The sequence below is a fragment of the Homo sapiens genome, chromosome 21 (assembly GCF_000001405.40).
Source record: "Homo sapiens chromosome 21, GRCh38.p14 Primary Assembly".
NCBI classification, from domain to species: domain Eukaryota; kingdom Metazoa; phylum Chordata; class Mammalia; order Primates; family Hominidae; genus Homo; species Homo sapiens.
Window position 1 is genome coordinate 42,819,038 of NC_000021.9, and position 12,379 is coordinate 42,831,416.

Genomic DNA, 12,379 nt, shown 5'->3' on the forward strand with positions numbered 1-12,379 from the left:
TACAATAGTAAATACACTGATGATAATGGGAACCAGGTTTCTCACTGTTGGAAAAGGGAGTCACAAATCTGGAAAGGGAGAAAATGAGAATGCGCTCCATGGGGTTGGGTCGGAGGAACTGGTGTGCACTCATGGTCTTCAATATAAGTACAGAAATAGATCCGCATAGAAATGTGTGTATTAATATGCTTGTTTCCTTGCTCTGTCCACTGAGAAGGCCTTAGACCTCAACAGTAATGAATACACCTAGAGCTCAGATCTTGGTTTCTAAATACCATTCTCCAATATATAAAATCAGGGCTCCCTGGAGAAATGGCTGATTGTAGAGCTTGGGCAGGAAAGGTACAAAATAAGCCTGAAATCTTTTTTTATAGAAACAAGGCAGTGCTCAAAGAATGATGGGACATGTCAAAAAACAACACAGGGGAAAAGAGGTGGAGCAAGATGGCCAAATGGAATCCTCCACCAATTGTCCTCCCAAATTTAACAATGATCTACACAAAAAAGCACCTGCATAAGAACTAAAAATCAGGCTGGGCACGGTGGCTCATGCCTATAATCCCAGCACTTTGGGAAGCTGAGGTGGGTGGATCACCTGACATCAGGAATTCAACACCAACCTGGCCAACATGGCAAAACCCCATCTCTACTAAAAATACAAAAACTAGCCGGACGTGGTGGCAGGCGCCTGTAATCCCAGCTATTTGGGAGGCTGAGGCAGGAGAATCATTTGAACCCAGAAAGTAGAGGTTACAGAGAGCCAAGATCAAGCCACAGCACTCTGGCCTGGGTGATAGTGTGGGACTCCATCTCAAGAAAAAAAAATAATAATAATAATAATAAAAAAATGAGGTGAGCAATCACAGTTTTAACTTCGTATTACTGAAAGAGGCACCACAGAGGGTAGGAAAGGCACTCTTTAATTGCTGACACCATCCCTCTGCTGCCCGCTGGCAGCTGTCGCATGGCACAGAGCAATCATCTGTGTGCTTGTGGGAGGGAAGGTGCAGTGATTGTGGGACTTTGCATTGAACTCAGTGCTGCTGCTTTGTCACAACAGAAAGCAAAACTGGGCTGAACTCAGCCAGCGCCCACCCATGGAGGGAGCACTTAGACTAGCCCTAGCCAGAGAGAAATTGCCCATCCCAGTGACTGGAACTTCAGTTTGGGCAAGCTTTGCCACCACAGGCTAAAGTTCTCTGGGGGCCTAAATAAACTTTAAAGGCAGTCTAGGCCACAAGGACTGCAACCCCTTGGCAAGACCTAGTGCTGTGCTAAGCTCAGATCCAGTGGACTTGGGGGACATGTGACCTAGTTAGACACCAGCTTGGGTGGCTAAGGGAGTGCTTGCACCATCCCTCCTCCAACCCCAGGCAGCACAGCTCACGGCAATGAAAGCAACTCCTTCCTTCTGCTTGAGGAGACAAGAGGGAAAAATAAAGAGGACTTTGTCTTGCGTCTTGCATACCAGCTCGGCCACAGTAGGACAGGGCACTGGGCAGAGTTGTGAGGCCCCTATTCCAAGCCCTAGATCCTGGATGATACTTCCAGACACACCTGGGCCAGACAGAAACCTACTGCCTTGAAGGGAAGGACTCAGTCTTGGCAGGATTCATCACCTACTGACAAAAGGGCCCTTGGACCCTGAATAACTAGTAACGATACCAGGTAGTACACCACGGGCCTTGAGTGAGACTGAGATGTGCTGGTTTCAGTTTCTATCTCGGCCACAATGGGGTAGAGCACCAAGTGGGCTCTTGGGGTCCCTGACACAAGGCCTTGTCTTTTGGGTTCCCTGAGCAAGGCAATTCTGGACCTGCCTTGGGCAAGGGGGTGCCCATTGCCCTGAAGGGAGGGTCCCAGGCCTGGCAGCATTTACCACAAGCTGACTGAAGAGCCCCTGGGCTCTAAGTGAACACTGATGGTAATCAGGTAATACTCTCCATGGGCTTGTAACGGTAGTAGCCATGGGAGAGGCTCCTCTGCTTACGGAAGTGGGAGGAAAGAGTGGGAAGAAATTTGTCTTGTGGTTTGAGTGCCCACTTAACTGTAATAGAATAGAACACCAGCTAGATTTCTAAGGTTTTTTGAGTCCAGTTTCTGGCTTCCAGATGGCATCCCTGGACCCACTTGGGGCCTGGGGGAACTCACTGCCCTGAAAGGAAGAATATAAGCCTGGCCGGCTTCACCACCTGCTGATTGTAGAGCCCTATGGCCTTGAGTAAACATAGGCAGTAGCAAGGTAGTAATTACGGCAGGCCTTGGGTGAGATTCAGTGTTGTGCTGGTTACAGGTCTGACCCAGCACAGTCCCAGTGGTGGTAGCCACGAGGGTGCTTGTGTCACCCTACCCTCAGCTCCAGGCAGCTCAGCACAGACAGACAGACTCCATTTGTTTGGGAGAAAGTAAAGGAAGAGAACAAAATCTCTGCCTGGTAAGCCAGAGAATTCTTCTGGATCTTATCCAAGACCACGAAGGCAATACCTCTATGAGTCTGCAACAACCACACTGTTACAGGGCTTCAGGTGCCCCCCACCCCGCCCAGTGCAGATACAGCTTAGATCAAAACACCTAAGTCCCTTCAAATACCTAGAAAGCCTCCCCAAGAAGGATGGGTACAAATAAACCCAGACTGTAAAGACTAAAATAAATACCTAACTCTTCAATGCCCAGACATCAATGAACATCCACAAGCATCACAACCATTCAGGACAACATGACCTCATCAAATGAACTAAATAAGGCAGCAGGGACCAATCCTGGAGAAACAGAGATACGAGATCTTTCAGACAGAGAATTCAAAAGAGCTATTTTGAGGAAATTCACAGAAATTCAAGATAACACAGAGACAGAATTCAGAATTCTATCAGATAAATTTAACAAATAGATTGAAATAATTCAAGAGAGTCAAGCAGAAATTCTGAAATTGATACATGCAATTGACATAATGAAGAACATATTAGAGTCTCTTAATAGCAGAATTGATCAAACAGAAGAAAACATCAGTGAGCTTGAAGATAGGCTATTTGAAAACACACAGTCAGGGGAGATGAAAAAAGAATAAAAATAATGAAACATGCTGACAAGACCTAAAAAATAGCCTCTAAGGGGCAAATCTAAGAGTTATTGCCTTAAAGAGGAGGTAGAAAAAGAGATAGGGGTAGAAGCTTATTCAAAGAGATAATAATGAGAACTTTCTAAACCTAGACAAAGACATTAATATTCAAGTACAAGAAAGTTACAGAACACCAAGCAGATTTAACCCAAAGACGAGCACCTCAAGGCATTTAATAATCAAACTCCCATAGGACAAAGAAAGGATCCTAGAAGTAGCAAGAGAAAAGAAACAAATAACTTACAATAGAGCTACAATATGACTGGCAGCAGACTTCTCAGTGGAAACCTTACAGGCCAGGAGAGAGTGGCATGATGTATTTAAAGGGCTGAAGAAGAAAAAAAAAAAAAAAACTTTTACCCTAGAATAGTACATCTGGTGAGAAAATATCCTTAAATAAAGACTTTCCCAGACAAACAAAAGCTGAGGGATTTCACATTCTTTTAAATGCTGTATAATAACCCATAAAATGAATGTACCATATTTAACACGTAATGTTTAACACATTATTAAATGCCTAGGGGCATTATTCAATAATGAAGCATGCCTATAAAAACTAGAAAATAGCCTCAAAGGGGTGAATCTAAGAGGAGGTAGACAAAGAAACAGGGGTAGAAGTTTATTCAAAAAGATAACAACAAAGAACTTTCCAAACCTAGAGAAAGAGATCAATATTCAAGTACAAGAAGGTTATAGAACACTCCTCACCAGACTTGTCCTACAAGAAACGCTAAGAAAGTTTCTTCAATCAGAAAGAAAAGGACATTAATGAGAAGTAAGAAAACTTCTGAAGGTATGAAAGTCACTGGTAATAGTAAGTACATAGAAAAACACAGAATATTATAACACTGTAATTATGGTGTGTAAACTACTTTTAAGTAGAAAGACTAAAAGACGAACCAATAAAAAATAATAACTACAACAACTTTTTAAGACATAGACAGTACAATAAGGTATAGATAGAATCAACAAAAGGTTGAAAAGCAGAGGGATGAAGTTAAAGTATGGGGTTTTCATTAGTTTTCTTTTTGCTTACTTATGTAATCAATGTTAAGTTGTCATCAGTTTAAGATAACGCATTATAAGACAGTATTTGCAAGCCTCATGTTAACCTCAAATCAAAAAAATGCAATGAATAAGAAATAATAAAAAGCAAGAAATGAAATCATACCACCACAGAAAATCACCTTCACTGAAAAGAAGACAGGAAGGAAAGAAGGAAGACCACAAAACAACCAGAAAACAAATTACAAAACTGCAGGAGTAAGTCCTTACTTATCAGTAATACTAAACTCTCCAGAAAAGACATAGAGTGGCTGAAAGGATTTAAAAATAAACAAACAAAAACCAAAAAAAGACCCAGTTATCTGTTGCCTACAAGAAACACACTTCATCTATAAAGACACACACAGAGTGAAAATAAACAGATGGAAAAAGATATTCTATGAATATGGAAACCAAAAGACAGCAGGATAGCTACAGTTCTGTAAGACAAGATAGATTTCAAGAGAAAAACTAAAGAAGAGGCAAAGAAGGCCATTATATAAATAATAAAGGAGTCAATTCAGCAAGAGGATATAACAAGTGTAAATACATATGCACCCAACACTGGAGCACCCAGATACATAAAGCAAATATAATTAGAGCTAAAGAGAGAGATAGACCCCAATACAACAATAACTGGAGACTTCAACACCCCACTTTCAGTATTGAACAGATCTTTCAGACAGAAAATCAACAAAAATAATCAGACATAATCTCTGCTATAGACCAAATGGACCTAATAGATATTTATAGAACATTTCATCAAACAGTTGCAGCATATACATTCTTCTCCTCAGCACATGGATAGTTCTCAAGGAGAAATAATATGTTAGGTCACAAAACAAGTCTTAAAACATTCAAAAAACTGAAATAATCTCAAGCATGTTCACTGCCCACAATGGACTAAAACCAGAAATCAGTACCAAGGGGAATTCTGAAAACTATACAAATACATGGAGATTAAACAATATGCTAGAATCGCTCGAACCCAGGAGGTGGAGGTTGCAGTGAGCCAAGATTGTGCCACTGCACTCCAGACTGGATGATAGAGCAAGACTCCATCTCAAAAAAAAAAAAATTTTAAAAAAAACAAAAACAACATGCTCCTGAGTGACTAGTGGGTCAATGATGAAATTAAGAAGAAAACTGAAAATTTTCTTGAAACAAGTGATAACAGAAACACAATATGGGATAAAGCAAAGCAGTACTAATAGGGAAGTTTATAGCCATAGGGTCTACATTAAAAAAAAAAAAAAGATGCCAGGTGCAGTTTAATCCCAGCCTGGGAGGCCAGGCGCAGCCTGTAATCCCAGCACTTTGGGAGGCCGAGGCGGGTGGCTCACCTGAGGTCAGGAGTTCAAGACCAGCCTGGCCAACAGTGAAACCCCATCTCTACTAAAAATACAAAAAAATTAGCCAGGCATGATGGTGGGAGCCTGTAATCCCAGCTACTCTGGAGGCTGAGGCAAGAGAATCGCTTGAACCCGGGAGGCAGAGGTTGCAGTGGGCCGAGATTACACCATTGCACTCCAGCCCAGGCGACAGTGCAAGACTCTGGGAAAAAAAAAAAAAAAAAAAGAGAGAAAGAAAGAAAGAAGAAAGAGAGAGAGAGAGAAAGAGATAGAAAAAAAAGAAAAGAGAGAGAAAGAAGAAGGGAGGGAGGGAGGGAGGAAGGAAGGAAGGAAGGAAGGAAGGAAGGAAGGAAGTTCAATTAAACAATGTAACAATGCATCTTAAAGAAACAGAAAGGCAAGAGCAAACCCAACCCAAAATTAGTAGAAGAAAAGTCAGAGAAGAAACAAATGAAGTGAAATGAAGAAAACAATACAAAAGATCAATAAAATAAAAAGCTGGTTTTTTGGAAAGATAAAATTGACAAACTTTAGCCAGACTAAAAAAAAAAAGAAGATACAAATAAATAAAATTATAGATGAAAAAGGGGGTTATTACAACCAATATTGCAGAAACTCAAAGGATCATTAGTGGCTACAGTGAGCACTATATGACAATAAATTGGAAAATCTAGAAGAAATGAATAAATTCCTAGACGTATATAACTTGCCAAGATTGAAGCATGAAGAAATCCAAAACCTGAACAGACCAATAACAGGTAACAAGATTGAAACTCTAATAAAAAGTCTCCTAGCAAAGAAAAGCCCAAGACCCCATGGCCTCACTGCTGAATTCTACCAAACATTTAAAAAACTAATACCAATCCTACTCAAATTATTCCAAAAAATAAAGGAGGAGAGAATACTTCCAAACTCACTCTACAAAGCCAGTATTATCCTGATACTGAAACTAGACAGACACATCAAGATAAGAAAACTACAGGTCAATATCTCTGATGAATATTGATGCAAAAATCCTCAACACAATACTAGCAAACCGAGTTCAACAACACATTAAAAAGATCATTCGTTATGACCAAATGGGATTTATCCCAAAGATGCAAGGATGGTTCAACATACACAAATCAATCATCACTGTGCTACATTGTTATCAACAGAATGAAAGACAAAAATCATAAGATCATTTCAACTGATGCTGAAAAATCATTTGAGAAAATTCAATTTCACTTCATGATAAAAACTCTCAAACAACTGGGTATAGAAAGAACACATCTCAACATAATAAAAGCCATATACAACAGACCTACAGCTAGTATCATACTAAATGAGGAAAAAGTGAAAACCTTTCCTCTAAGATCTGGAACATGACAAGGATGCCTAATTTCACCACTGTTATTCAACATAGTACTGGAAGTCCTAGCTAAAGCAATCAGACAAGAGAAAGGAATAAAGAGCATCCAAATTGGAAAGGAAGAAGTCAAATTATTCTTGTTTACAGATGATATGATCTTATATTTGGAAGAACCTAAAGACACCACCAAAAAAACATTAGAACTGATAAATTCAGTAAAGTTGCAGGATACAAAATCAACAAACAAAAATCAGTAGCATTTTTATATGCCAACAGTAAACAATCTGAAAGAGAAATCAAGAAAGTAATCCATTTACAATAACCACAAATAAAACACCTACAAATTAACTTAATCAAAAAGTAAAATATCTCTACAATGAAAATTGTAAAACATTGATGCAAGAAATTGAAGAGGACATAAAAAAATGGAAAGAAAGTCCATGTTCGACCCAGCGTGGTGTCTCACACCTGTAATCTCAGCAGTTTGGGAGGCCAAGGCAGGCAGATCGCCTGCGGCCAGGAGTTCAAGACCAGCCTGGCCAACATGGTGAAACCCTGTCTCTACTAAAAATGCAAAAATTAGCTGGGCATGGTGGCGGGCACCTGTCATCCCAGCTACTCGGGAAGCTGAGGCAGGAGAATCACTTGAACCCAGGAGACAGAGGTTGCAGTAAGCCGAGATTGCACCACTGCACTCCAGGCTGGGTGACAGAGCAAGGCTCTGTCTCAAAAAAGAAAGGAAATTCCATGTTCATGGATTGAAAGAATCAATATTGTTAAAATGTCCATACTTACTCAAAGCAATCTATAGATTCAATGCAATCCCTATCAAAATACCAATGACATTATTCACAGAAATATAAAAAAAATCCTAAAATTTATATCAAACCAGCAAAGACTCAGAATAGCCAAAGCTATCCTGAGCAAAAAGAACAAAACTAGAGGAATCAGATTATCTGACTTCAAATTATACTACAGAGCTATAGTAACCAAGGTGCTAAGATTACAGGTGTGAGCCACCACACTTGGACTTGGCTCCTGTGAGTGTTTTTGTTTCTTTTTTTTAATTTTTAATTCTTGTGGGTACATAGTAGGTATATATATTTATGGGGTACATGAGATATTTTGGTACAGGCATCCAATGCATAATAATCTCATCATGGAATATTGGATTTCTAGCTCCTCAAGCATTTATCTGTTGTGTTACAAACAATCCAATTATACTCTTTTAGTTATTTTGAAATGTATAATTAGGCTGAGCACCGTGGCTCATGCCTGTAATCCCAGAACTTTGGGAGGCTGAGGGGGGTGGATCACCTGAGGTTGGGAGTTCGAGACCAGCCTGACCAACATGGAGAAACCCCGTCTCTGCTAAAAATACAAAATTAGCTGGGCGTGGTGGTGTGTGCCTGTAATCCCAGCTACTCAGGAGGCTGAGGCAGAAGAATCGCTTGAACCCAGGAGGCGGAGGTTGCAGTGAGCTAAGATCATGCCGTTGCACTCCAGTCTGGGCAACAAGAGCAAAACTCCGTCTCAAAATAATTATATAGATAGATAGATAGATAGATTACAATTAAATTATTATTGACTATAGTCACCCTGTTGTGCTATCAAATACTAGGTCTTATTCATTTTGTCCATTTTTTTCCCCCATTAACCATCCCCACCTCCCCTACCCTCCCACTACCCTTCCCAGCCTCTGGTAACCATCCTTCTACCTTCTATGTCCGTGAATTCAATTATTTTGATTTTTAGATCCCACAAATAAGTGAGCACATGTGATGTTTGTGTTCTGTGCCTGATTTATTTTCTTTAACATAATGACCTCTAGTTCCATCTATATTGTTGCAAATGACAGGGTCTCATTCTTTTTAATGGCTGAATAGTACTCCACTGTGTATATGTACCACATTTTCTTTATCCATTCCTCTGTTGATAGATACTTTGGTTGCTTCCAAATCTTGGCTAGTGTGAATAGTGCTGCAACGGACATGGGAGAGCAGCTAACACTTGGATAGACTGATTTCCCTTCTTTGGGTCATATACCCAGCAGTTTGATTGCTGGTAGTTCTATTTTCAGTTTTTTGAGGAACCTCCAAACTGTTCTCCATAGTGGTTATAGTAATTTACATTCCCACCACCAGTCTATGAGGGTTCCCTTTTCTCCACCTCCTCGCCAGCATTTGTTATTGCCTGACTTTTGGATAAAAGCTATTTTAACTGGAGTGAGATGATATCTCATTGTAGTTTTGATTTGCATTTCTCTGATGATCAAGGATGCTGAGCACCTTTTTGCATGCCTGTTTGCCATTTGCAAGCCTTCCTTTGAGAAATGTCTATTCAAATCTTTTGCCCATTTTTAAATCAGATTATTAGATTGTTTCCTATAGAGTTATTTGAGCTCCTTATATATTCCGGTTATTAATCCCTGTCAGATGGTTAGTTTGCAAATCTTTTCTCTCATTCCGTGGGATTTCTTTTCATTTTTGATTGTTTCCTTTGCAGTGGAGTAGCTTTTTAACTTGATGTGATCCCATTTGTCCATTTTTGCTTTGGTTGTCTGTTCTTGTAGGGTATTACTCAAGAAATTTTTGCCCTGACCAATGTTCTGGAGTTTCCCCAATGTTTTCTTTTCTTTTTCTTTGAGACGGAGTCTCGCTCTGTCACCCAGGACGGAGTGCAGTGGTGTGACCTTGGCTCACTGCATCCTCCACCTCCTGGGCTCAAGGGATTCTCGTGCCTCAGCCTCCCGAGTAGCTGGGATTACAGGCATGTGCCACCATGCCTGGCAATTTTGTGTGTGTGTGTGTGTGTGTGTTTTTAGTAGAGATGGGGTTTTACCATGTTGGCCAGGCTGGTCTCGAATTCCTGACCTCAAGTGATCCACCTGCCTCAGCCTCCGTTAAGTGCTGGGATTACAGGAGTGAGCCACTGCCCCTAGCCCCCAGTGTTTTCTTGTAGTAGTTTCATAGTGTGAGGTTTTAGATTTGTCTTTTTTTAAAAAAAATTATTTCATTTTTTTGAGACAGGGTCTGGCTCTGTTACCCAGGCTGGAGTGCCGTGGCACAATCATGGCTCACTGCAACCTCCATCTCCCAGGCTCAGGCCATTCTCCCACCTCAGCCTTCCAAGTAGCTGGGACTACAGGCACATGACACCATGCCTGGCTAATTTTTGTATTTTTTGTAGAGAAGGGGTTTCACCATGTTGCCTGGCCAGATTTAAGTCTTTAATCCATTTTGATTTGATGTTTGTATATGGTGAGAGAGATAAGGGTCTACTTTCATTCTTCTGAATATGAATATCCAATTTTCCCAGCCCCATTTGTTGAAGAGATTATCCTTTCTCCAACGTATGTTCTTGGCACCTTTGTCAAAAGGGAGTTCATTACAGATGTATAGATTTGTTTCTGGGTTCTCTGTTCTGTTCCATTGGTCTATGTGTCTGTTTTTATGCCAGTACCTTACTGTTTTGGTTACTATAGCTCTGTAGTATAATTTGAAGTCAGATAATCTGATTCCTTTAGTGCAGATGCCATGTTAATCTGATGGTCAAGGTTAACATCACCACCAATGGGCCACATTAAAGCTGTGTGCCCTGGCAGGATGCAGTGAGAGCTCTGCGTCGCTTTCACCATCTTCCTGCCCAAGAGGCATCACCTGAGCCTCATCGTGGGGGAATCGTCAGCCCAACCCGCAGTGAGGGGCGGGGGCTCCACAAGACACCTGGCCTGTGATCATCCAAGGGCAAAGTCCTGAAAGTCAAGGAAAGATGGAAAAGCTGTTCCAAGGAACAGCTCGGACCACTAAATGCAACAGACCACTAAATGCAAACACTAAATGCAGAGACATGACCACTAAATGCAACAAGGGATCCTGGAAGGGACTCTTGTGCTGTAAAGGACGTCGCTGGGGCCATTGAGGAAACTCGAACAGGACCTGTGGATCAGATAATCATGATACATCAGTGCTGATTTCCCGATTTCTATGTCTAGATGTGGTTACGTAGGAAAACATCCCTGTTCGTAGGTAGTTCACACTAACATATTTGGTGGTGGGTTATCATGGTGACAACTCAATTGGTTGAGAAAAAAAACAAACCCTTTGTGATATTCTTACAATGAGTGAATGAGTGAGTGAATGCTAACCCCTCACCACAGTACAGGAAGGTTACAACAAATGCAGTCATAAAGACTGGCTTCAGCCACCCTCTGCAGCCAAACCCATGTGATGGGCCTACAAGTCATCCAAAGTGTGCTCATTCATTCATTCGATGTACATTCATTCATTCCTTCCACATATATTAAGCACCTCTTGTGTGGACGGGACCGCACAAGGTTCAGGGAGCCAAGGACAAAGAAAGCCGTGTCTTCTCTCAAGGAGACAACAGTCTAGTCCATTGTAAGGTTTGACTTTGTGTTTTTTGGTTTTTTTTTTTTTTTGAGACAGAGTCTCGCTCTGTCGCCCAGGCTGAAGTGCGGTGATGCGATCTTGGCTCATGGCAACCTCTGCCTCCTGGGTTCCAGCAATTCTCCTGTCTCAGCCTCCCAAGTAGCTGGGACTACAGGCACCTGCCACCACGTCTGGCTAATTTTTATATTTTTTAGTAGAGGCAGCGTTTCTCCTTGTTGGTTAGGCTGGTCTTGAACTCCTGACCTCAGGTGATCTACCTGCCTCGGTCTCCCAAAGGGCTGGGATTACAGGCATGAGCCACCGCGCCCAGCCAGTTTGTTTTGTTTTGTTTTTTTGACACAGAGTCTCACTCGGTCATCCAGGCAACAGTGCAGTGGTGCGATCTCAGCTCACTGCAACCTCCCCCTCCCGGGTTCAAGCGATTCTCCCACCTCCGCCTCCTGAGTACCTGGGATTACAAGCACCCGTTACCCCACCTGGCTAATTTCTGTATTTTTAGTAGAGACGAGGTTTCACCACCTTGGCCAGGTTGGTCTTGAACTCCTCACCTCAGGTGATCCACCCATCTCGGCCTCCTAAAGTGCTGGTATTACAGGTATCAGCCACCGCACCCAGAGTGGGGGGTTGACTTTGGAGGAATGCCAGTTCCACCCCTGGCTCCAGCACCTTCCTGTGTGTGACCACAGGCAGTCATGGAGCGCCAGGCGCCTCACTCATGAAGTGTGACAGTGATAGCAACTTCCCTAGGTGGCAGTGAAACTTCAGTGTAGCGGCCGTGAAAACATTTCCCACGGTGGCCGGTGGGTACTTGGTCCTTGGAAAATATTTTTCTTCTCATTTCCGTGGAAATAGCCTTCAGAGTTCTCAGAATCGCTTTCCCCAAAACCTGAAAATCTTAAAGGGGAAACCATTTTCAGAATAAAAAGAGCCACCTCTCATGACTGACACTGCCCCCTGCTGTGGTCCCGATGAGAACCAGGGCACTAGTGGGTAAGGTATGAGCTGTGCCTGCCAGAGAGACAAGCCCAGTGTTTCCAACGTGAAGTAATACTTAGAAACTAAACAGGAGTTCCAAAAATTTTAAACTTGGTTTTTTTTTTTTTTT